At 36.9% G+C, this 27,283-nt stretch overlaps 1 long non-coding RNA gene across 1 annotated transcript in view, besides 1 other annotated feature; it reads left to right on the forward strand.

Annotated features, from left to right (window-relative positions):
- The window catches only part of LOC105376988 (uncharacterized), a 52,487-nt gene extending 25,672 nt beyond the window's left edge, over positions 1 to 26,815 (forward strand). The window contains exons 3-4 of the long non-coding RNA XR_940646.3: positions 16,249 to 16,302; positions 26,485 to 26,815. This is a non-coding gene — a long non-coding RNA (uncharacterized LOC105376988). The remainder of the gene's footprint in view (positions 1 to 16,248; positions 16,303 to 26,484) is intronic.
- Positions 9,518 to 9,708: a silencer, noted in NCBI's record as "fragment chr3:21245759-21245949 (GRCh37/hg19 assembly coordinates)". NCBI's record gives its function as "represses an EF-1alpha promoter that drives an FKBP-Casp9 reporter gene in an ReSE screen in phorbol 12-myristate 13-acetate-treated (for megakaryocytic differentiation) K562 erythroleukemia cells {active_cell/tissue: K562(+PMA)}" and the evidence as "EXISTENCE:reporter gene assay evidence [ECO:0000049][PMID:32094911]".
- Positions 26,816 to 27,283: the final 468 nt, after the last annotated feature.

A 27,283-nucleotide genomic window follows, 5' to 3' on the forward strand; every position in this document is an offset into this window, starting at 1 on the left:
TATTAAGCCCTCAGGTTTTTTATATATAACACAGTGATAATAGTACCTATTGCGTAAAGGATTATTGCATAGACTAAACAAGAAACGCAGAGTACCTGGCTCAGAGTAAGAATCAGATAAAATTCCCTTTCTTCTTCTTACCCTGAGTAACAAGTGCATCCTTTGGCACTACCATACCTTTGGGTAAATACTGTACTTGCTTAGGACACACATATAATGAAAACTTTAAATTGAAATACTCTTAACATTTAATATTTACAGGGGGTACATGTATTATTTATATATCAATGTTATACATTGGAGTGAAAGGGGACTTGGGAACACTTTATGTTCCCAAGGCTATGAGGGCTGAATGTTCTTTTTTGCCATATTATAAATCATTCTGCATGAAGAAGCAGTCAAAAACAATTGTTACTAACACTTTTAAATCTGATACTTTTTTGCAATCTGAACATAAGAAAGCAATCACTAGGAGGCTGGCTCCTTCAAATGTACGTAGATATGTGACATCTTTTTGGTGTGGTCTGGATGTTGCTATATGTCTTTGCATATGTTAGTAAGCAGCCTAACTAATTGTCAAGAATAGACACTAGAAATATTAGGTTGGTGCAGAAGTAATTGTGGTTTATGCCATACTTTTATAGCAAAAACCGCAATTACTTCTGCACCAACCTAATACAAATGACATTCCTGGGAAAAAATGCTATTTCTGGGCCTCATATTGAGCCATTTTCATAAGAAAGACACCATGAAAAAAATGAAAGTTAATTAGCTCAAAAGAAAGGTGGATTTAAAAGAAACCAAAATAATTAAGGGAAATAGAGTAATATCCAATAGATATCTTGGTGACCCAGTGAGTCCAGGACAGGCTGGATAGGTAGAAAAGCCTAAGAATCTCAAAAGATAATATAAATACTTTTTTTTTTCTTGTAATCTCAATAGCAAGTGGCTCAGGGTATGCCCTGAGCTGCTGGATGGAACTAGTTCTTAGAGTTCATTAATTAATCTAATTTGCTGCTAGATACACTGTGAGTTTGTCTTTCAGCCTTGCCAATGACACTCTTGTGTTGTCCTTGTTGGCCTGCAGATTCTGACCAGCAGCAAATGTGTGTCTATGTGTGTAAATAAACCCTGGCCTATACCAGGAGTATCAGGAATAATATAACTAATTTATTGAGAAGATTGGTAAGGGAAAGTGTTTACTTTTTAAAGCGTTTTCCCCTCTCTCTCTTTCTGTGTGTGTGTGTATTTACAGATTAAAAAGTTACTAACACAGGAATAGAAAACCAAAACACCACGTGTTCTCACTCATAAGTGGGAGTTGAACAATGAAAACACATGGACACAGGGAAGGGAACATCACACAGCGGGGCCTGTCAGGCGTTTGGGGGCTAGGGGAGGGATAGCAAAGCATTATTTTCTTATAGTCCTCATCTGAATTAATCCATCCCCAGCTACCCCGTAACCCAAACTAGAAATCTGGAACGTGGTTTAGTATAGCAAAGCCTTGGATAGCCTAGGTTTGACTTCAACTTTTCATGACTTTGAATAACTTTGCCTCTCGGTGCCTCAGTTTCTCATATGTAAAATGAGAATATAATAGTGCATTTTAATGCATTCCAGGATTCTTGTGAGGATTAAATGAGAGTTTATATATTGAGTGTTTAAAATTCAATAAATGTGTATCTTTATTCCTTTTTTATGCACTACATTCAGTCTGTAAGTTTATCATTTTATTTTCTCTTATTGGATATTTCCTTCGCATCATTATCACTTCCTTGCTTCAAGTCCTTACAGCCTCTAGCTTTCCTGGATAACCTGTATCCAGTGTTTCCAAATTACTTCAACCATCTCTCTCCACTCTTCCCCTTTGTCATATCTCTTGTCTGGTGGTGTGTACTGCTGATGGAGTGTGTTTTCTTGATATAAAATATTTTACATATTTATGGAATACATGTTAGTATTTGTTACATGTATAGAAAGTGTAAGCTGGGCGCAATGGCTCATGCCTGTAATCCCACACTTTGGGAGGCTGAGAAGGGCGGGTCACCTGAGGTCTGGAGTTCGAGATTAGCCTGACCAACATGGAGAAACCTCATCTCTACTAAAAAATACAAAATTAGCTGGGCATGGTGGTGCAGGCCTGTAATCCCAGCTACTTGGAGCTGAGGCGGGAGAATAGCTTGAACCTGGGAGGCAGAGGGTGCGGTGAGCCAAGATTGTGCCATTGTACTCCAGCCTGGGTGACAGAGTGAGACTCAGTCTCAAAAAAAGAGAAAAAGAAAATGTATTGATCAAGTGAGGGGGTGTTTGGGATATCCATAACCTTAAGTATTTACCATTTCTATGTGTTGGTAACATTTCAAGTCCCTTCTTCTAGCTACTTGGAAATATACTATACAATATTGCTGACTATAATCACCCTACTCTACTATCAAATAATGGGGTGATTTTTTCTATGTAACTATATGTTTATATTCACTAATCCACCTTTCTTTATCTCCCCTTTCCCCTTTCCCAACCTCTGGTATATATCATTCTACTTTCTAATTCTAGAAAATCAATATTTTAGCTTTCACATATGAGTAAGAAAATGTGGCATCTGTCTTTTGGTGTCATTTAAATAATTAAATAAGTCATCTGACTTATTTAAATTAACATAATAACCTTCAAGTTCCACCCATATTGCTGCAAATAACATGATTTTATTCATTTCGATAGCCCAATAGTATTTTGTTGCATATATATATACCACATTTTTAAATTTATTAATCCACCAATGACACTTGGGTTGATTCCATATCTTTGCTATTGTAAAGAGTGTTGCAATACCCTTTGGGTATACAGATTTCTTTTCCTTTGGATAAATATCCAATAGTGGAATTGCTGGATAATAACATAGTATTAATTTTTTTTTTTTTTTTTAGAAAACTCCATACTGCTTTCCATAGTGGTTGTACTAAATTACATTCCCAACAGTGTACAAGAGTTCCCTTTTCTACTCATCCTTGACAGTACCTGTGCTTTTTTGTTGCTTGTTTTTTAAGTAATAGCCATTCTAACTGGGATAAAATGGTATTGCATTGTGGTTTTGATTTGCATTTCCCTAATGATTAGTGATGTTGAGTATTTTTTCATATACCTGATAGCCATTTGTATGTCTTATTAAAAATTGTATTCATGTCCTTAACACACTTTTTAATGGGATTATTTGATATTGGTGGTTGAGTTGCTTTAGTTCCTTGTATATTCTGGATATTAATTCGTCCCTTGTCAGATAAATAGTTCGTAGAAGTTTCTCCCATTCAACAGGTTGTTTCTTTACTCTGTGCATTTTTTCCTTTGCTGTGAAGAAGGCTTTTAGTTTAATATAGTCCTATTTGTCTATTTTTGTTATAGCTGTCTGCGCTTTTGCAGTATTAGCCATGAAATATTTGCCAATGCCAATGTCTTAAAGCATTTTCCCTGTTTTTCCCTAGTAGTTTTATAGTTTTGGGTATTATATTTAAGTCATTCTTCTGCATATGGATATCCAATTTTCCTGCCACCACTTTTTGCAAAGAATGTCCTTTCCCCCTTGTGTGTTCTTGGCAACTTTATATTTAAAAAAAAAAAAAGTTGCTTGTAAATGCATGGATTTATTTCCGGACTCTCTATTCTGTTCCATTTGTCTATGTGTCTATTTTTATACCAATACCATGCTGTTTGGGTTACAATAGACTTGTAATGTATTTTGAAGTCAGGCAGGGTGATCCCTCCAGCTTTGTTCTTTTTTGTTCAGGTTTCCTTTGGCTATTTGAGCCCCTTTTTGTTTTCATACAAATTTTAGAATTTTTTAAAATTTCTGTGAAAATAGAAAATATGTAGGGATTGCATTGAATCTGTATATTGCTTTGTGCACTATGGTCATTTTAACAATATTTATTCTTTTGATCCATAAGCATGAGATGTATTTCCATTTGTTTGTGCACTCTTCAATTTTTTTCATTAGTGTTTTGCAGTTTTCCTTGAAGATATTTTTCACCTCCTTAAATTTATTCCTAAGTATTTTATTTTTGGGAGCTGTTATAAATGGGGTTACTTTCCTGATTTCTTTATCATCTAGCTCATTATTAGTGTGTAGTGTATTGACTTTTTATGTTGGTTTTATATTATGCAACTTTACTGAATTTATTGATTAAATCTACAAGGCTTTTGGTGGAGTTTTTAGTTTTTTCTAGATATCTGATTATGTCATTAGGAAAGAGGAACAATATGACTTCCTATTTTTCACTTTGGATGGCTTTTGTTTCTTTCTCTTGACTGATTGCTCTTACTAGGACTTCCAGGACTATGTCAAATAGCAGTGGTGAAAGTGGGCATCTTTAACTTGTTCCAGTTCTTAGAGGAAATACTTTCAGTTTTTCCCCATTTAGTAGGATTTTGTCACATATGGCCTTTATTATTTTGAGGCATATTCCTTCTGTTCCTAGTTTGTTGAGAATGTATATCATTTTTAAGTGATGTTGAATTTTATCAAATGCTTTTTCTGCATCTTTTGAGATGATCATATTATTTTGTTGATGTGATATATCTTGTTTACTAATTTGTATATGTTGAATAATCCTTGCATCCCCAGTATAAATCCAAGTTGGTTGTGGTGTATTATCTTTTTGGTGTGCTCTTGAATTCTGTTTGTTAGTATTTTGTTAAGGACTTTTTGCATCTGTGTTGGCCTATGGTTTTCTTTTTGTTGTGTTCTTGCCTAGTTTTTGTTGGCCTCATAGAATGAGTTATGGAGAGTTGCCTCTTCAATTTTTTGAAATAGTTTTAGGGGCATTGGTATTTTTTAAACATGTTTGGTAGAATTCGGCCATTAATCCATCCAGTTCTGGGCTACTTTTTGTTGGAAGACTTTTAGTATATGATTCAATCTCACTACTTGTTATTGGTCTGTTCACGTTTTCTGTTTCCTCCTGATTCAGTCTTCGTAGACTTTATGTTTCAAGGAATGTATTAATTTCCTCTAGGTTCTCCTGTTTATTGGCATGTAGTTGCTCATAATAGACTCTCATAATCTTTTTAAATATTTCTCTGATATCAATTGTAATGTCTCATTTTTCATTTCTGATTTCTTTTATTTGGGTCTTCTCTCTTCTTTTCTTTGTTAGTGTGGCTAGAGGTTTATAAATTTTGTTTATCTATCCAGAGACCCAATATTTTATTTGGTTTATCCTTTGTATTTTTAAAGTCTCTCTTATTTAGTTCTGCTGAGATGTTTATTATTTCTTTACTTCTAGTAATTTTGGTTTTTTTCTTAGCTTTTCTAGTTCCTTGAAGTACATTATTAGGTTGTTAATTTGAAATATTTCTACTTTTTTGATGTATGCATTTATTACTATAAACTTTTTTTTCACTTTTTTTGCTGGTTTCTATAGATATTGGCATATTGTGTTTTCATTTTCATTTGTTTCAAAAATTTTTTTATTTTCATCTTAATTCTTCATTAACTCAATGGTCATTCAGGAGCATGTTATATAATTTCCATGTATTTGTATATTTTCCAAAGTTCCTCTTAGTGTTGATTTTTATTTTTATTCCATTGTGGTCTCAGAAGATACTTGATATAATTTTAAGTTTTTAAAAATTTGTTGATATTTGTTTTGTGGCCTATTATATGGTCTCTCCTAGAGAATGTTCAATGTGCTAATTAGAATAATGTATATTCTGCAATTGATTGAAAATTTTCTGTAAATGTCTATAATATCCATTTGGACTAGAGTCCATTTTAAATCCAATCCTTCTTTATTGATTTTCTGTCTAAATTGTCTATCTAATACTGACAGTGGGGTGTTGATATCCCTCACTATAGTTGTAGTAGATCTATCTCTCTTTTTATATCTAGTAATATTTGTGTTATGAATCTGAGTGTTCCAATGTTGGGTACATATATATTTAGAATTGCTATATCATGTTGCTAGATTGATCAATTTTTACATCATATAGTGACCGTCTTTGTCTTTTTTTAAACTGTTTTTGATTTATAATCTATTTTACCTGATAAAATTATAGCTAATTCTGTTAGCTTTTGGTTTCCACTTGCATGGAATATCTTTTTCTATCCCTTTATTTGGAATCTATATGTGTATTTTCAAGTTAAATATGTTTGTTCTAGGATAGTTGGATCATTTTTCTTTATTCATTTTTCTCTGTCTTTCAAGTGAAGAATTTAATCCATTCATATTCAAGGTTAATATTGATATAAGAGGTTTTTTAAGTATCATATTGTTAATTGTTTTCTGGTTGTTTTGTATATTCTTTTTTCCTTTCTTTTTCTCTCATTGTTTGCCATTGTAGGTTGGTGTTTTACTTTAGTAGTACCATTTAAGTCCTTTATGTCCCTCATTTGTGTATTTGGTTTATCACTGACTTTTATCCTTTCATGTGTTTTTATGACTATAATTCATCCTTTAGCTTTAACATTTTGAACTCCCTTGAATTTTTCTTAGAAGGCTAGTTTCAGGGTGATGAATTCCTTCAGCATTTGCTTATCTGGAAAAGACTCAATTTCTTCTTCATTTATGAAGGATAATTTTGTTGGACATAATATTCTTGGGTGAAAGTTTTTTGTTTTCTTTTAGCACTTTGAATATGTCATCCCATTCTCTTCCTGCTTGTAAGGTTTCTGCTAAGAAATCCACTGTTATTCTGATGGGGGTACCTAGGTGCTTTTCTCTTGCTCTTTCTATTATCCTTTATTTTGCTTTGACTTGAGACAGTTTGACTATAATGTGTGATATGGTTTGGCTGTGTCCCCACCCAAATTCTCATCTTGGAATTGTGATCCCCATAATTCCCCAATGTCAAGGGCGGGATTACCTGATGGAGGTAATTGGATCATGAGGGTGGTTTCCTCCATGCTGCTCTCATGACAATGAGTGAGTCTCTTGAGCTCTGACGGTTTTTAAATATCTAGCATGTCCCCTGCTTGCAGTCACTCTCTCCTGTGAAGAAGGTGTCTGCTTCTCTTTTGCCTTCCGCCATGATTGTAAGTTTCCTGAGGCTTCCCCAGCCATGCTGAACTGTGAGTCAATGAAAACTTTTTCCTTTATAAATTACCCAATCTTGGATATTTCTTCATAGTAGTGTGGAAATGGAATAATACAATGTGTGAAGGAGAAAACCTTTTTGTATTACATTTGTTTGGGGATCTTCGAATTTCTTGCATCTGGATGTCTAAGTTTCTTGCTAGAATTAGGAAGTTTTCATCTACTATTTCATTAAATATATTTTCTAACCTTTTTATTCTATGTCCTTAAGGACACCAATAATTCAAATATTCACTTGTTTTCTATTGTTGCCAATGTCATGAAGACTTTGCTCATTTTTTCTTTTTTCTTTGTTTTTATTGAATTGGATTATTTCAAAAGACCTATCCTCAAATTCTGAGATTCTTTCTTCTGATTGATCTAATATATTGTTGAAACTTTCAAATGTATTTTATATTTCAATCAATGAATTATTTAATTCTAGAGTTTCTGTTCTTTTGTTTTAATATATATCTCTTTGGTAAACTTCTCATTAATATCCTGAATTGTTCTTATGTTTTCTCTGTATTGCTATTTCAAATTCTTATGTATGTTGCTGAGTTTCTTTAAAATTAGAATTCTGAATTCTTTTTCTGGGATTTTGTAAATTTCTTTTTGATTAGGATATGTTGCTGTAGATTTATTTTTGGAGATATCATATTTCCTTGCTTCTCCATGTTTTCTGTGTACTTACATTAATATAAATGTATCTAATGTAAGAGTCACTTCTTCCAATTGTTGAATTTGCTTCTATAGGAAAGGAATTTTTCCTGAAACTCTGTGTGTGTGTGTGTGTGTGTGTGTGTGTGTGTAGTATATAATCTTTGTATGATTTTTTAGCTGTAAATAGTGTCAGTGGTATCCAGGATTTTCTTTGTGGCTTAGGAGGTGTTTATTAGTGGAGGCTTGGTGAAGTTTTGCTGAGGACTAGGAAGCCAGGTGGGCCAGTCTTCAGGCCCCAGTGGTGGCAGCAGTAGGCTAAGTATGTCTGTCTTTGAGCCCCAGTGTGGCATACACTGGCATCATAATTAATGAGTCCATGGTTGCTGATTTTTGGGTTTCCAGGTGGCTTGTTCAGATGCTGGTAGTGGCAATGGTAGGCCAGGATTATGGGCAGGTTCTTGTGTCCCTGGACAGCAGACATGATATGGATGATGGCAGAAGAAGTAGTTGGAGGAACCCCCTGGTCTTTGCTGGTGGTGGTGTTGGCTGTGATGGGTTGAGTAGACCAGTCCCCTGGCCCTCTAGGAGTGCATGAAGATGGGTGCTAACTGTGTTAATATCAGCAGGTAGTGTTGTCCTGACCACAGACCCTGGGAGAAGTGTTCAGATGCCAACAGTGGTCAACTGGTAGGGGCAATCACCAGGTCCCTGGATCATATGCTTGAATATAGGGGGGTTGGGGCATGTAGGACTGGGCCAGTGGACTTGTTTCAGTCCCCATGGTCATGTGTTCAGGCACTGGCTGTGATAGGCAGTGACAGCATTATCCCCAATTTTCCAGCATAATACTCATGTATATTCAGTGGCAGCTGCACTGTGAGCCAACCAATGCAAAGGGCAGAGCCCCTCTCAGCAGAAGCAGGATAATCAGGTAGCTGTGGGATGTGAAGTTTCCCCATACTTTGATCCCACAGTGGCCTGCAGTAGCAACAGTGGGATTTGTCTCTGGGATGTGTGAAAGTGCCCAGTCTCACCTCTCTGTCCTTGGGCCTGTGGTGGTAGTGGCAGTGGCAGTTCTGGTCCCAGGGCAAAATAGATCTTCAGAGACTGAGGTCTCAGAATGGCACAGGCTGTGGTCCTGTCAATGGGGAGGGTGGAGCCAGTCTCAGTGGAAGCAGCATGGGTAGGTAGATGTTGGGAGTGTAGTTTGCTTGCATCTTGGTCCCACGGCAGCCCATAGCTGCAGAGGGGGGATTGTCCTCAGGGTGCATGAAGGTGCCTGGCCTCCCCCCTCATCCTTATCAGCAGTGGTGGCATCAGTTTCAGGGTAGGATGCAGTCCTTTAGGGGCTTGGCTCTCAGAATGGTGCCATGCTGAAGCTGCTCATGGCTCAAATGCCTGTGGGACTCAGCATGAGTTCCTTCCCTGAAGCAATGCCTCTGTGCATCTCTAGGCAGCTCTCTTGTTATCCTTGAGGCCCCTGTAGGTTGAGGGACTCTCCTGTAGCTAGAATTGTAGAAGTCCATGACAGGAATGTGGAGCCCTGGGGGCTGCTTACTTACCCTTTATTCATGTCTGGGAGTTTCTCCTAGCTCCCAACTATTCTCAGCTAAGCAGGATGCCATGTGATATGGTTTGGCTGTGTCCCCACCCAAATCTCATCTCGAATTGTAACTCCCACAATTCCCATATGTCATGGGGAGAACCCGGTGACAGGTAATTGAATCATAGGGGCAGGAATTTACCATGCTGTTCTCATGATAGTGAATAAGTTTTACAAGATGTGATGGTTTTAAAAATGGGAATTTCCCTGCACAAGCTCTCTCTTTGCCTGCTGCCATCCATGTAAGACATGACTTGCTCCTCCTTGCCTTCTGCCATGTTGAGCCTGTGAAGCCTCCACAGACACATGGAACTATAAGTCCATTAAACCTCTTTCTTTTGTAAATTGCCCAGTCTCAGATATGTCTTTATCAGAAGCATGAAAACGGACTAATACAGTATATTGGTACCAGTAGAGTGAGGGGCAGCTAAAAAGATACCTCAAAATGTGGAAGCAAATTTGGAACTGGGTAACAGGCAGAGGTTGGAACAGTTTGGAGGGCTCAGAAGAAGACAGGAAAATGTGGGAAAGTTTGGAACTTCCTAGAGACTTGTGAATTACTTTGACTAAAATGCTGATAATGATATGGACAATGAAATCCAGGCTGAGGTGGTCTCAGATGGAGATGAGCTTGTCGGGAACTGAAGCAAAAGTGACTCCTGTTATATTTTTGGACAGAGACTAGTGGCATTTTGCCCCTGCCCTAGAGATTTGTGGAACCTTGAACTTGAGAGAGATGATTTAGGGTATCTGGCGGAAGAAATTTCTAAGCAGCAAAACATTCAAGAGGTGACTTTGGTGCCGTTAAAGGCATTCAGTTTTAAAAGGGACATAGAGCATAAACGTTTGGAAAATTTGTAGCCTGACAATGCAATAGAAAAGAAAATCCCATTTACTGAGAAGAAATTCAAGCTGGCCACAGAAATTTGCATACATAACAAGGAGACGAATGTTAATCACCAAGACAATGGGGGAAATATCTCCAGGGCATGTTAGAGACATTTGCAGCAGCCCCACCCATCACAGGCCGGGCAGTTTAAGAGAAAAAGTGGTTTTGTGGGCCAGGCCCAGGGTCCTTCTGCTGTGTGCGGTCTAGGGACTTGGTGCCCTGTGTCACAGCCACTCCAGCCATGAGTAAAATGGGCCAAGGTACAGTTCAGGCTGTTGATTCAGAGGATCAAAGCCTCAAGCCTTGGCAGCTTCCACATGGTGTTGAGCCTGTGGGTGCACAGAAGTCAAGAATTGAGTTTTGAGAATCTCTGCCTATATTTCAGAGGATGTATGGAAATGCCTAGATGCCCAGGCAGAAGTTTGCTGCAGGTTCGGGTCCCTCATGGTGGGGGCAGTGTGGAAAGGAAATGTGGGGTTGGAGCCCCCACACAGAGTTCCTACTGGTGCACTACCTAGTGGAGCTTTGAGAAGAGGACCACCGTCCTCCAGACCCCAGAATGGTAGATCCAATGACAGCTTGTGCTGTTGCCTGGAAAAGCTGCAGGCACTTAACACCAACCCATGAAAGCAGCCAAGGGGGGCGGGGGGGCTGTACCCTGCAAAGCCACAGGGCTGGAGATGCCCAAAGCTGTGGGAGCCCACCTCTTGTATCAATGTGACCTGGATGTGAGACATGGAGTCAAAGGAGATCATTTGGGAGCTTTAAGACTTGACTGCCCTGCTGGATTTTGAACTTGCATGGCACCTGTAGCCCCTTCATTTTGGCCAATTTCTCCCATTTGGAATGGCTGTATTTACCCAATTCCTATAACCCCATTGTATCTAGGAAGTAATTAACTTGCTTGTGATTTTATAGGCTCATAGGCAGAAGGGACTTGCCTTGTCTCCGATGAGACTTTAAACTGTGGACTTTTGAGTTAATGCTGAAATGAGTTAAGACTTTGTGGGACTGTTGGGAAGCCATGATTGGTTTTGAGATTTGGGAGGGACCATGGGTGAAATGATATGGTTTGACTGTGTCCCCACCCAAATCTCATCTTGAATTGTAACTCCTGCAATTCCCATGTGTCATGGGAGGAACCCAGTGATAGGTAATTGAATCATAGGGATGGGTCTTTCCCGTTCTATTCTCATGATAGTGAACAAGTCTCACAAGACATGATGGTTTTAAAAATGGGAGTTTCTCTGCATTAGCTCTCTCTCTTTACTTGCTGCCATCCATGTAAGATGTAACTTGCTCCTCCTTGCCTTCCTCCATGTTAAACCTGTGAAGCCTCCTCAGTACATTAAACCTCTTTCTTTTGTAAGTTGCCCAGTAAAATTGGGTATGTCTTTATCAGCAGCATGAAAACAGAACAGTACACCATCCTTCCCTCTCCTTAGCTGCCAGAGCTTCCCATCACTTCTCTGTTGAATTCCATTGTTCTCTCTTAGATGATATATTCAAAATGTCATCAATGTGGTCCTTGACTGGACTTTTCTGTCTTCAGCCAATTTCATTGTAATAAAATAACAAAATAGCTCCTTTTAATAAGCTTTCCTCAAATTTTATACAGAAACAAAACATGGGTCTTGGAGTACATGACTTTGATTTCCACATTTAGTTTAAGGCTAGATATATTTTTAGACTATCTTAAGATAAAGTGTATTTATAGACTAGGACCAAGGCAAACTCATGTTATCTTTACTATTGACATCGATAACAATATAAACAAGTTTCACATTTCCATGTATCTCAAATTTTATTATATAATATGGGCATTGTAATATCAACTTCATAAATGTTTTGTGATGAATTATAAAGTATGAGGTATTTTACATGGCAGTTTTGATTTTTTTGGTGAATATATATACATTTTATATTATCACTCCTGATTCAGTGTATTTTAAAACTCAAAAAACTTACTTCTGAATTCCTTTTATAAGCAAGTCAGATTTTCTTTCATTTTTTTCAATAGAAGGCATCTGCCTTCATAAATCATATATAAAGTTGATAAAAGCAAAGAGCACAGCCTTAGGAAAATCTAACAGGTCAGTAGCTATTTATAATTTGACAATTTATGAGAACAAATATCTCCATTACATAAATAATTCCCTTGCATTTCATTTGCTTATACACCATTATTTCTAAAAGTTTGTCACAAAAAGAATGGTGATCGATTTATCTTCTTAGCTGGCACAGTGGGTAAATGTGAGCACCACTGCATTCCTTCAGTCGGCTTGCAAGGAAGATAATATTAATCTTTTATTTTATAAAGATATACCTGAATTTTAGCCAAAGGCCAATGATCCACAGAGACATAAAAAGCCCTATAAGTAATTCAGCCCTGAGCTTTTTCTGTGTGCTCCAGTGATCATTTGGCTGGTTCCACCTGAGTCACTGTCTCTGAATGGAAATGGGAACTGTCCTTAAATATTATTCAGCCCTTTATCCTCTCTCATCAGTATAAGAGTATGAGCTATAAAAGCTTTGGGGCATGTTTGCCAGCTTGTGTAGAAGTAAAAAGAGCCTTCCATGTACTAAAGATTAGACAACTTCTGTTTGAATTATGATCTCCCATTGGGTATTCTTGTGCCAATCAATTATAAAGCATTCTGAAAATCACTTATAAAATAAGAAATATAGATTAGATATGCCCAATGATTTATAAATGACATTAAAAGCACTGTCATTTATAAATCATAAAATCATTTATGATATAAGAAGGCTGGACCATATGCTTGAATGTGTTTTGTCAATTTGGGTAAGAATGGAAACTATATTTCTCAAACTCCCCTTCCCTGTGTGGGTTCAGAATAGTTTCGGTCAAGAAAGAAACTTGTGTAAGATTTGGGAGGCAGAAATAAATGTGGAGTCATTACTCTTGGAAAAAACTTTATAGTCAGACACTAGGATAGCAGGCCAGAAGTGTCCAATAGTCCACTGAACTCCAGTTTATCTTAACTCTTCTCCCATTCTGAGTTCATAGTTGCTGGTATGTCAACCAGCAGTAACCCTAAGCCCACAACCATGCACCTGACTACAAGTGCCTTAGAAGTAGCAGTCATACATAGGCACCAGCTTCTTCAGAAGGGGCAGTAACTATGGGCCTCCCCATGAGTACTCTCTTCAGGGGCCCACTTAGATATCCAGGGGCTATTTGTCTAGAATTTCCTGTCAACTGTAACTTGTACACACATACCAGTGCTTCATGTCAACATGGTTAGATCAGTTATTTCTCTGATCTCCTCACTTTCTCTTTCGTTACATCCTCACATATTCACAATTTGTTGTTACTAAGTATCTCGGTCCAGAATATAAGTTCTCAGGGAATATAGCAACTACAGATCCACAGACATGACTCAGAGCATCTGGGAACACCTGGAGAGTATGTGTTTGTATTGAGTATTTTTCTAGGTAGAAGGGGTACATAATTTTTAACGTATTTATAAAGAATTCAATAAGTTCAGGCTGAGCGCGATGGCTGATGCCTATATTCCCCACACTTTGGGAGGCTGAGGTGGGAGGATCACTTGATGCCAGGAGTTTGAGACCAGAATGGCCAACATGGCAAAACCCCAACTCTACTAAAAGTACAAAAATTAGCCAGGTGTGGTGGTGCACACCTGTAATCCCAGCTACTTAGGAGGCTGAGGCACAAGAATCACTTGAACTTGGGAGGAGGAGTTTGCAGTGAGTCGAGATCGTGCCACTGCACTCCAGCCTGGGGGACAGAGCAAGATCAGTCTCAAAAAAAAAAAAAAAATTCAGTAAGTCCAAACAGATTAAAATCAATGCTTAAGGCTGTACTGCTTAATATGGTCATCACTGGCCACGTGTGGCTACTTAAATTTAATTGATTTAAAACTAATAAAATAAAAAATTCAGTTTCTTTGTCACATTAGTCGCATTTCAAGTGCTTGGTAGCCACATATGGTTAGTTAGCTATCATATGGGACAGTGTAGAAAATGTTTTCATTATTGCAGAAATTTCTGTTGGATAGTGTGCTTTCAGGATAGTTAACATTTTATGGAAATGCAGAAGTTCCATTGCTTTCTATATATAATACTAAGGTAGCTAAGCACCTTTCTTATCATTTCCCTACTTCCTCCAATTTCTCTACCAAACACAAAATCCCTATTCAAGTAGAACATCAAATTCATTGAACAGCTTAGTACAACGTCTATTTTTCCTTTATAAAGGTCAGTGCTTTTGGTACAGCATGATTGCATGCAGAGTTGAAAAACAGATCCAATTCACCTACAGAGCCACATAAATATTTTAAGACTGTGTTTTATAAACTGTAAACTTTATTATCGGCTTTGGTTCCAGAGCAGGTGAAGTCTATATATCATCAAGTCCCACCACTCGTGGCTATTGTTTTAGTAGCCTGCTTCTTCACTTCTGCCATACACTACCCAGCAGACTGGATTAACAGCTCTCCCAGGTCCCCTTCCACCTTCCAGGAGAAATACTGATTGAACCAGAAGCAAATTCTTCCTATTCTGACATATATGTATACAAGAAAAGCCTAGGAGTTACCAACAGCACAATAGGCTACAAACACGAAACCAATCACATTGCTCAGGGAAAGCACTAAGGAGTTTATCATCCTTTCAGGCCAGAAAGGTTTTGAATGGTGAACACAGACCTCTGCAGCTGCAACTGACTTCTTTGCATTTTAAGGAGCAACATAATAGCATCCCCAATTAGGAACTAATTAGAGAAATAAGTAACAGTTCTAGAATTTTGGCAGCTATCCCTCATAACCTGAAAGCAACAACAATGAAAAAACTCTTCAAATTCACCTGCGTAAGGAAAGACTGGAGTGTGAGTCAATATCAGCTTTGTCATACAGGGAATATAGTTATTTACCTTAAAATTCTCTAGAATTTATCATATGCAGCCCTTTTAAAAGTAGGTTCTCTGCTTCTATAGTAACACAAAAAATAATATAGCGGACTGACAGTAAATTGCTCCTTAAATTGAAATATATGTAGCACCAAAGTCTGGAATGCTTTTAGTCTTTCACCATTGAATATGATGTTAAGTGTGGGCTTTTCATATATGGCATTTATTATGTTGAGTTAATTTCCTTTTTTCCCTAGTTTGTTGACAGCTTTAATCATGAAAAAATATTAAATTGTTTTAAACACTTTTTATGCATCAATTCAGACAATGATGTGATTTTTTTTGTCCTTCATTCTATTAACATGATATATTACATTGATTTTTGTATGTTGAACCTTCCTTGCATCTCAGGGATAAATCCCACTTGGTCAGAGTGTATGATCCTTTTAATGTGATGTTGAATTTTTTTTTTGCTAGCATTTTGTTGAGGATTTTTGCATTAATATTCATTGGGGATATTACTCTGTAGTTTTCTTTTTTTTGCAGTATCTTTAGCTTTGGTATCAGGATAATGCTGCCCTCATACATTGAGTTTGGAGGTGTTCCCTCTTCCTCAAGCTTTGGAAGAGTTTGAGGAAGATTAGCATTAATTCTTATTTAAATGTTTGGTAGACTAACAGCAGTGAAGCCATTTGGTACTGGGCTTTTCTTTGTTGGGATGATTTTGATTACTGTTTAACCTCCTCACTAGTTATAGGTTTGTTCAGATTTTTTGTTTCTTCATATTTCCCTTGGTAGGTTGTGTATTTCTAGGAATTTATCCATTTCTTCTAGTTATATAATTTGTTAATGCATAATTGTTCATAGTAGTCTCTTACAATCCTTTTTATTTCTGTGGCATCAGATGTAATGTCTCCTTTTTCATTTCTAATTTTAGTTATTTGGGTTGTCCTTTTTGTTTTTTTCTCAGTTAATCTAAGGGTTTGTAAATTTTGTTGCTCCTTTTTAAAAAAGAACTCTTAGTTTTTTAAATTTGTTCTGTTTTTTACTTTCTATTTCATTTATTTCTGTTCTAACCTTTTATTATTTCCTTCCTTTTGCTAATTGTTGGTTTCGTTTTCTCTTGTTGTAGTTCCTCGTGGTATAAAATTGAGTTGCTGATTTGCAACCTTTCTTCTATTTGAAGGTAAGATTTGCTACCATAAACTTCCTTTTTGGTACAGGTTGAGTATCCCTTATCTAAAATGCTTAGGACCAGAAGAGTTTCAAATTTTGGATTTTTTTCAGATTTTGGAATATTCGTATTATGCTTGCTGGTTGAGCATCTCTAATCTGACATTCTGAAATATGAAATATTCCAAAGAGCATTTCTTTTGAGTGTCATGCCAGCATTCAAAACGTTCTGATTTTAGCACATTTTAAATTTTGGATTTTCAGATTAAGGATGCTCAACTTGTCCTACTTTTGCTGCATCCCACTTATTTTATTATGTTGTGTTTTTTTCATTTTTCTTGAGATGGTTTCTAATTTCTCTTGTGATTTTTCTTTGACCAATTGTTTGTTTAAGATCATGTTGTTTAATTTCCACATATATGTGGATTTTTTGTTCGTTTGTTTTACTCCTGTTATAACTTTTTAGTTTCATTCCATTGTGGTCAGAGTAGATACCTTGTATGATTTTAATCTTCTAAAATTTCAGATTTGTTTTGTGACCTAATATAATCTATCCTGAAGAAAGTTTAATCTGTGCTTCAGAAGAATGTGTTTACTGCTTTTGTTGGTTGCAGTATTCTGTGTGTGTGTGTGTCTGTGTATGTGTGTGTATGTATGTTCCAATTTGTATATAGTGTTATCCAAGTCTGCTGTTTCCTCATAGGTTTTCTATCTACTTGTTCTATCTATTATTAAAAGTCAGATATTGAAGTCTCCTACTGTTATTGTGTTGCTGTCTATTTCTACCTTCTGTTTTGTCAATGTTTGTTTCATATATTTGGGAGCTCTTATGTTAGGTACATCATATGCATTTATAATTATTACGTCTTCCTAATGAATTGACCATTTTATGATTATATAATGTCTTTATTTGTCTCTTGTGACAATTTTTTGCTTCAAGTATATTTTGTCTAATATAGTATAACTGCCCCTGATTTCTTTTGTTACACAAAATATATTTTTATTCTATATCTTTCAGCTCACGTATGCCCTTATATCTAAAGTGAGTCTCTTGTAGACAGAATATAGTTAGATCTGGTTTCCTTATTCATTCAGTCAATCTATGTCTTTTGATTGGGGAGTTTAATCCATTTACAGTTAGAACTTACTATTGTCATATTTTTTGTATGTCTCATAGATATTTTGTTTCTCTTTTTTTTCTGTTATTGCCTTCATCTGTGTTTCGCTGATTTTTTTTTTTTTTTTTTTTTTTTTGTAGCAACATATTTGATTCCTTTCACTTTTTTGTGTATATCTTCCACAGGTATTTTGCCTTTGGTCACCATGAGGATTACATAAAACATCTTAAAGTTATATCAATCTATTTTAAACTGACAAGAACTTAAATCCAATCATATGCAAAAACTCTATTCCTTTACATTTCTACTCCCCCCAAAGTTATGTTACTGATGTCAAATATTGCACCTTTTTATATTGTGTATCAATGAACATAGATTTAGTTATATTTTGTGCTTTTCTCTTTTTTAAACATTTCCAACTTTTAAGTTCAGGGGTACATGTGCAGGATATGCAGGTATATTACATAGGTAAACATGTGCCATGGTGGTTTGCTACACAGATCAGCCCATCAGTCAGGTATTAAGCCCAGCATCCACTGGCTATTCTTCCTGATGCTCTCTCTTCTACCCCCTAGTCTCTGACAGGCCACAGTGTGTGTTGCTCCCCCAGCCATGTGTCCATATATTCTCATCACTTAGCTCCATTTGGTTTTCTGTTCCAGTGTTAATTTACTAAGGATAATGGACTCCAGTTCCAACCATGACCCTGCAAAGGACATGATCTTGTTCCTGTTTATGGCTGCATGGTATTCCATGGTGTATATCTATCACTTTTTTTAATCCAGTCTATCATTGATGGGCATTTTAGGTTGATTTCATATCTTTGCTATTGTGAATAGTCCTGCAATGAACATACATGTGCATGTGTCTTTATAGTAGAATTATTTATATTCCTTTGAGTATATACCCAGTAATGGGATTATTGGGTCAAATGGTATTTCTGCCTCTAGGTCTTTGGGGGAATTTCCACACTGTCTTCCACAATGGTTGAACTACTTTACACTCCCACCAACAATGTAAAAGTGTTCTTTTCTCTCCACAACCTTGCCAGTATTTTTTATTTGTTTGTTTGTTTTTACTTTTTATAGTAGCCATTCTGACTGGTGTGAGATAGTATATCATTGTGGTTTTGATTTGCATTTCTCTAATGATCATTGATGTTGAGCTTTTTTTTCATATGATTGTTTGCCGCATGTATGTCTTCTTTTGAGAAGTGTCTGTTCATGAGAACACATGGACACAGGGAGGGAAACATCATACACCAGGGCCTGTTGGGGGGTGGGGGCTTAGGGGTGGGATAGCATTAGGAGAAATACCTAATGATGGGTTGATGGGTGCAGCAAATCACCATGGCACGTGTATACCTGTGTAACAAACCTGCACATTCTGCACATGTACCCCAGAACTTAAAGTATAATTAAAAAAAAAGAAGTGGGCCAGGCACGGTGGCTCATGCCTATAATCCCAGCACTTTGGAAGGCTAAGGTGGGTGAATCACCTGAGATCAGGAGTTCGAGACCAGCCTGGCCAACATGGTGAAACCTTGTCTCTACTAAAAATGCAAAAATTAACCAGGTGTGATGGCAAGTGCCTGTAATCCCAGCTACTCAGGAGGCTGAGGCAGGAGAATTGCTTGAACCCGGGAAACAGAGCTTGCAGTGAGCCAAGATTGTGCCATTGCACTCCAGCCTAAGGGACAAAAGTGAGACTTCGTCTCAAAAAAAAAAAAAGAAAAGTGTCTGTTCATGTACTTTGCCCACTTTTTAATGGGGTTGTTTTTTTCTTGAAAATTTAAGTTCTTTGTAGATGCTGGGTATTAGAATTTTGCCAGACATATAGATTGCAATTTTTTTTTCTTCTATTCTGGGGATTGTCTGTTTTCTCTGTTGATAGTTTTTTTTGTTTGTTTGTTTGGAGTTTTTTTGCTGTGCAGAAGCTCTTTAGTTTAATTAGATCACGTTTGTCAATTTTTGCTTTTGTTGCAATTGCTTTTGGCATCTTTTTCATAAAATCTTTGCCCTTGCCTATGTCCTGAATGGTATTGCCTAGCTTTTCTTCTAGGGTTTTTATAGTTTGGGGTTTTACATTTAAATCTTTAATCCATCTTGAGTTGATTTTTGTATAGTGTAAGGAAGGACTCCAGTTTTCATTTTCTGTATATGGCTAGCCGGTTCTCCCAGCACCATTTTTATTTTATTTATTTATTTATTTATTTTGAGATGGAGTCTTGCTCTGTTGCCCAGACTGGAGTGCAATGGTGCTGTCTAGGCTCACTGCAACCTCCGCCTCCGAAGTTCAAGAGATTCTCCTGCCTCAGCCTCCAGAGTAGCTGGGATTATAGGCACAAGCCATCACGCCCAGATAATTTTTGTATTTTTAGTAGAGACAGGGTTTCACCATGTTGGCCAGGCTGGTCTCGAACTCCTGACCTCATGATCCACCCACCTCAGCCTCCCAAAGTGCTGGGATTACAGGCATGAGCTACCTCACCCAGCCAACCAGCACCATTTATAAAATAATAAATCCTTTCCCCATTGCTTATATGTGTCAAGTTTGTCAAAGAGCAGATGGTTGTAGGTGGGCAGTCTTATTTCTGGGTTCTCTATTCTGTTCCATCAGTCTGTGTGTCTGTTCTTACACCAGTACCATGCTGTTTTGGTTACCGTGGCCCTGTAGTATAGTTTGAAGTCAGATACCATGATGTCTCCAGCTTTTTTCCCTTTTTCTTAGGATTGCCTTGTCTATTCGGGCTCTTTTTGGTCCTATATGAATTTAAAAATAATTTCCAATTCCGTGAAGAATGTTAATGGTAATTTAATGGGAATAGCACTGAATCTACAAATTGCTTTGGGCATTATGACCATTTTCATGATGTTGATTCTTTCTATCCATGAACGTAGAATGTTTTTTCATTTGTATGTGTCATCTCTGATTTATTTGAGCAGTGGTTTGTAGTTGTTCTTGAAGAGGTCCTTCACTGCCCTTGTTAGCTGTATTCCTAGGTATTTTATTCTCTTTGTAGTAATTGTGAATGGGAGTTCATTCATGATTTGGCTCTCTGCTTGCCTGTTGTTGCTGTATAGGAATGTTAGCGATTTTTGCACATTGATTTTGTATCCTGAGACTTTGCTGAAGTTGCTTAAGAATCTTTTGGGCTGAGAGGATGGGCTTTTCTAGATATAGATTCATGTCATCTGCAAACAAAGATAGTTTGACTTTCTCTCTTCCTACTTAAATACCCTTTATTTCTTTCTCTTGCCTGATTGTGCTGGCCAGAACTTCCAACACTAGGATAAATAGGAGTGGTGTGAGAGGATAAATTTGTCTTGTGCTGATTTTCAAGGGGAATGCTTCCAGCTTTTAAATTCTATACCATAACTTAAATAATTTCTAAATCACCACTATAAGACTATAGGACTGTGTATTTGTCTATATATTTACCTTTACCAGAGAGGTATACATTTTTCTATGTTTTTATGTTGTCGTATAGCATCTTTTCATTTAAACATGAAGGACTCTCTTAAACATTTTTAGGGAAAGCCCAGTGGTGATGAACTCCCTCAGCTTTTCTTTAGAAAAGTTTTATTTTTATTTTTTAACGACAGTTTTAATAAATATAGTATTTTTGATTGGCAGCTTTTTCTTTCAGCACTTCCCGATATAAATATATCATCCCACTGTCTTCTAATCTGTGAAGTTCTTGCTGAGAATCCTCTGACAGTCTTATAGGAGCTCCCATGTATAATGAGCCTCTTTTCTCTTACTGTTTTAAAGATTCTATCTTTGCCTATGACTGTTGACAATTTGATTATTATGTGTTGCAGTGTAGGTTTCTTTGCATCTCTTAGTTGGAGTTTATTGAGTTTCTTTAATTTGTATATCCATTTTCTTTCTTACATTCAAGAAGCTTTTGCCTATTGTTTCTTCACACCAATCTTTGTTCCTTTCTCTCTCCTCCTGGAATTCCTATAATGCATATTTGGTCTGTTTGACAGTGATCCATAAGTCTGTTAGGTTCTTTTTACTTTATAAAATTATTATTAACTTTTTTTCCCTCTGACTTGATAATTTCAAATGACCTGTCTTCAAGATGGATGATTCTTCTGCTTAATGAAGTCTGCTGTCAAATCCTTTTAGTATATGTTTTAATTCATTTATGATATTCTCCAGCTCCAGAATGTCTATTCACTTATTTTTATAGTTTCTACTTATTTGTTGATTTCTCATTTTATTTGTGAATAATTTTCCAGATGTATATTGTCCATCTTTATTCTCTTTTAGCTCATTGAGCATCTTTAAAATGGTTATTTTGAATTCTTTGTTAGGAAATTTATAGTCTTTATGTCTTTAGGGTTCCTTTTTGAAGATGTACTTTGCCCCTTTGATTGCACTATGTTTTTCTGTTTCTTTGTATGCCTTGTTATATTTAGTTGAGATTTGGGCATTTGAAAAAATAGCCAACTCTCTCAATCATTAAGGAATGGGTTTGTAAGGAGAAGGCATTCACCAACCAGCCTGGCTACAGGTTCTGGAGACTTTTCTAGAGACACATTTTCTCTAGGATTGTTTGAGTATAGCTTTCCCAGTTAAAAAAAGGTTTGTCTCGGTCTCTTCTAAACACTCTGTAATCTCTTGCTCCTCCTGGTGTCTCTCTGCAGTACTGTAGTCTCTCTGGTACCATTACAAGACACAGTGCTCACCTTTGTGTTCAGCAGTCCCCAACTTGGCATCCAATGTACAGCACTGTTTCATTCAGTGCTCCAAGTCCAGCAATACAGGAAACAATCTTTCAGGATGCCCCTTGAAAAACCAGAATGTTTAGCACATGTTCTACTCTTCTTTTTCACTTCCAAGAGAGAAGCTAGGACTTAGGAGTTTTGTCTAGATTGTACTATGCTGTAGTGGGGGTGGGGGCGTAGAGGAAAGGGGGTAGGGTAAGCAAATGCAACAAACTTTCATGCCCATTTCTTTGCAGTTCTTTGTGGCTTTGTCCTCTTCTCGGCGGCTGCAACCTCTTAACTGGTTTCTGGAGTTTTCATAAAGGCAATTTGGTCTGTATATTAAGTCAGTGTCTCCACAGGGTAACATGGGCTTAGGGCTTCCTTTCAGCCATCTCGCTGTCATCACTTGAAAGCAAGTAATTTTTAAGCAAGAAAATACATTAATGACCAGGAAAGGCAGCTGTGTAAGAAAATATGTATACTTGCATAGGGATCCCTTAGTTAAAATCAAAACTCCAAACTCAAAAAATGGAAGGAGGGTAAAAGCTTCTAATAAAATGTCAGAATATGTTTTTGAGTGGCTGTCTGCTCAACTAGACTAAATGCCATGTAGAAACAGAGATGGGCCCTTATTCACCTTTGTGGTTGTGATGACGTTGACGTTCATTCTTTCATGCTTCCAGCAATGACTACTTTCACTGAATGCATGTTAGCCCATATATTTATTGCTAGGTACAAATGGTAAGCAAACACAACCCAGTTCCTGCCCTTATGGAGTTTCTAGTCTAGTAAAGAATACAAGCATATGAACAAACACCTAAAATCTAGTGTGACAACACTCAGAAAGGCTTGATTGCAGAGTACTAGGGGAAAATAAAAGTGGGACTTGTACTATAAATAAGAAAAAAAATCACATAACAAATGTCTATCTTTGCTAAATTGAATGGAAGAAAGACTATACTTGTACCAATGTTCCAAAGGTGGTCAGCAACCCCATAACATAACCCAGCACAGCTAAAATAGTCTGTGAACTTGCCAAGCCTCAGTGAAAGCAACCAGTGAAAATTGATACTTCTTCCATTGTTCTCATTAGATGGGGCTCCTTACTTAGCTCACCAACTCCCCAAATCTTTATCCTTTTTAAGTGAGCTCTTGATTAGCCAGCTAGGCATTTTTGACACCAGTCTAGAACTTGAGGAGTTAATAGTGTGGAGGCTGTGGGACATGTAGAATGGATGGCTTTAGAGGACAAGAGGTGGCCAGCACTCAATTTGTCTTGTGCCTCCAGTTGCATTTCAAAAGCTCTCTGTTTTAGCTCTGACATTTCAGGTGTGAAGAGCAGAGTCAGCAAGTTCCCTTAGTGAATATTTTAAAATGATGCTGCAAGACACTAGGGAGGGAGATGTGGAAGCAAAAGCCAGACAGTGACAGGAAAATAGACAGAATTCTTAGTCAAGGGAAAAGGAACAGCATCCAGTATTCTGATATGGATGGTCACTGTTCAGGGACAGTTAGGTTTTTTTATGCTTCAGGAAGAAATCTATTATTTGTTTTCCACTCTTTTAACAAATACTTTAGAAACAAATGAAGTGATAAAAAAGGTTTCTTTTTAAAATATAATGTGAACACTATTCAGATAGTATATAGTATTTTCAAAAGGAAATTTGCTCTTTGATTGTGAGAGAACATGTTTATAAAACTCAGAGGGAAGGACAATAAATTGATCCTGGAGCAAAATGGAGCTGTGTAGTTTCTTGGTGACCTTTTTTAAGTTTCTTCTCAAACTTAGAATTCTACTTAGCCATCTTAAGCTGAATATTTTACAACCATCAGTATATATCCCATAAAGTATTAGAGCAAAATACATTAGAGTATAGATTCTAGATGAAAGACAAATGTGCTCTCTAGGCTTGCAGGAATGATCCTTTAATGATGGTCTTTCTGGCAGTGAGGGAAGTGATATACCTACAGTAGAGCTCTTTGAGTGTGAGGATCATTTTGTAAGGCGACTTGATTCCTGGCATTTTGACAACTTCTACTCTTCTATTTCATCATTAAGGTTTCTTCTATGAAAGTTGAGATAATGAGTTGGTATATTCTTAGTTCTCATTGCACAAACCTTGAAAAGCCCCCAACCAAGTGGTCTATACATGATAAATTCTAAATATTTATTTAATATTGTATAGCCTTGCTCAACCAGTTCCAATTTTTTTATTCAAATTGATATCCTACACTGTCTACCTTTGTGAGAATATGATTTGGTACATGTCATCATGCAAATTTCTCAACAATCCTCTGATTCCTACCTATCCCCCCAAAATCAAATCTAGACTTATGACTCCATGAAGCTTTTCCTGACCTCTACAGACTTCAAATATCTTCCTCTCCACTTATCTCCTAGAAGTCTTTTATTTATATATATTTGGCATTCATTATATAATCTCTCAAATTCCAGTATTCTACTGAATCATCTCAAGTTTAAGCTCCTGAAGAGAAGAAGCCATACCTCATATCATGTTTTTCCTGTCTATACATTTATTAATGTCTCAGTCCAGTGGTTCTCTATTTGGATTGATTATATGCAGCCCACCTTAACAAAAATATAATAAGCATCTTCTATGTTAAACAATGGAGCTTCAGAGATGTGTAAAATAAGATCCCTGCCCTTATAAAGATAAGTAACTAGTGGAGAAAGAAACAAGATCTTGGTTTCCAACAGCCAAGATCATTTCCAACAAAGCACATTGGATTGGAGGGCCCTTGAGATCAGAGACCATACTTATGCTGTGTCTTCAGCATGTAGCACATTTCAGCCCTGACTTGATTCTTGAGCACTAGGCTAATATATCCAACAGCCTGTGTGACATTTCTACTGTCACGGGCATCTCATACTTAATATGGCTCACAGAGAACTATTGATTTATTTTATCCCATAGGAAGCCTGTTTCTTCTATTAACAAATGACAACAGCTTCTGCCAAGCTCCTAAAAACCCAGGAGTTACCTTTACATTCATATCATCAGCCAATCACATTAGTTTTAAATTTGAAAAATATGTTCAAGGCCGGGCGCGGTGGCTCACGCCTGTAATCCCAGCACTTTGGGAGGCCGAGGTGGGTGGATCACGAGGTCAGGAGATCGAGACCATCCTGGCTAACATGGTGAAACCCCGTCTCTACTAAAAATACAAAAAATTAGCCAGGCGTGGTGGCGGGCGCCTGTAGCCCCAGCTACTCAGGAGGCTGGGGCAGGAGAATGGCATGAACCCAGGAGGCGGAGCTTGCAGTGAGCCGAGATCCGCGCCACTGCACTCCAGCCTGGGCGACAGAGCAAGACTCCATCTCAAAAAAAAAAAAAAAAAAAAAAAAAAGGAAGAAAAATATGTTCAAATCTCACTATTTCTCTCGCTACAGTTGAAGCCACTAAGTGTTTCTCTGTATTAACTATAACCACCTCCTAACTCATCTCCCTGCTTCCACGTTCACATCCTTTTTGTTTTGTTTTGTTTCACATAAAGCTTATTTCTGCTTCAGGGTCTTTGGCTTTCCTGTTTTCATTTTCTAAAATTCTCTCTTCTTGAAGAGAAATTTTATCTAATTTATCACTAAAGTCCCAACACATAGTAGACTGCGTGGTACAAAGCAATAATTCAATATTTATCGAAAGAGTGAGCACAATTTTAGTTGTTTAAATATATGTAGAAATGAATCATAAGTGACTTGAGTTTGTGTACCTAGAAGCTAACATAGTTTAGATCTCAAGAAGGTTATGGCTTAAATATATTTGATTCTATGGGCTATCTGTATAAATGAATGAGTAATCCTCCACTAAGTATTAGATGAGTGACTAGAATGTCCTGAGTGAGCTCACAAAACCAATGGCTGGCAACCACGATAGTTAAGCCAATAGTTAAGCAGTGATTTTCATCTTTAATACATGTTTTCATGTTAATAAAAGCTTACTCTTAGCCAGACAGGACCTCTTTTAGCCTTTAAGGACTGGAAAAGTTCCCAAGTGAACAAGCATCAATTTCATGATTTATCTTAACTGGCTAAATACATCAGTAATTCCTGGAAGCTGAGATAGGATGAAAACAGGACTGCATTACCTCTCTTGCCTACAGTGTTGTGCTGCTTTAATCCTTTTCTGGATCTCAGCTTTTAAAAACATTGTATCAGAAAATTGGGGATAATAATAGTAACTACTGAAGGAATGGTTGTGTGTATTTAGAAAAGTAATGTACATAAATTCATTAGGACAGGGTCTGGTATATACTAAGTCCTCATAAATGATAATATAATAATGATGATTATGCATTAAAGCATTTTAAGCTATAATAGTGCTTTCTAAATATAAGGGAGAAGAAATCAAGGCCTTAAAAATACAAATTATGTTTCGCTTCTGGAGTAGAGATTACATCACTCTGCATCTCACACAGTTTTCATTATTTTCACCAGGTATGTACTAGGTACTCAGTTAAATGTTTTCGAAAAAAGTTTGTTCAGAATCAGAGAGAAGCAAGGTCAGAAAAATTCAGGAAATTTTTTTTTTATTGAAAAAATAATTCACATCATGTTTAAATTTTCCAGTTTATAACTAACTTTTGGGAGGGCGCAAATATTTCTTGGGGTAATTGAAGTAAAGGTAATATTCTCCGCCAAAATACATAATTGAAAGCCTACATTTTGTCCCAGTCAAGTTTAAATTTTATTTGTGATACTTCTTTCAAGAACAAAGTTAAGGCATACGTTAGGATTCTGTCAAACATTAGGAAAAGAAGGTTTTATTTCTTCTGAAGTTGACCTTGATTACTTTATATCTCTCATAGTTTTCAGTACTTTAACTAGGTTTATTATAACTTCTCAATAAATATCTTTTGAAAAAATGAATAAAAAGGTATTTAGAAATGACACATATAAGCTTCATGTGACTTTAGAGACACATGTGCAGATAGTTGTCGAGTCCTTTATTCCCTTGTGACAAAGGCCATTTGTCATGATTAATATCATCTATCACATGGCCTCTTTACCTTCTTTTGAAGCCCTTGCTTCCAAAAGACTTCCCATTTCTAGGAATTATATCCCAGCCTGGTCATCACAAAGCTTCTGTTTTTCAAGCTCCAATTATAAGCTTCCCAGGGGCTGAAAAGCATTTTC

Source organism: Homo sapiens, chromosome 3 (assembly GCF_000001405.40).
Source record: "Homo sapiens chromosome 3, GRCh38.p14 Primary Assembly".
NCBI classification, from domain to species: domain Eukaryota; kingdom Metazoa; phylum Chordata; class Mammalia; order Primates; family Hominidae; genus Homo; species Homo sapiens.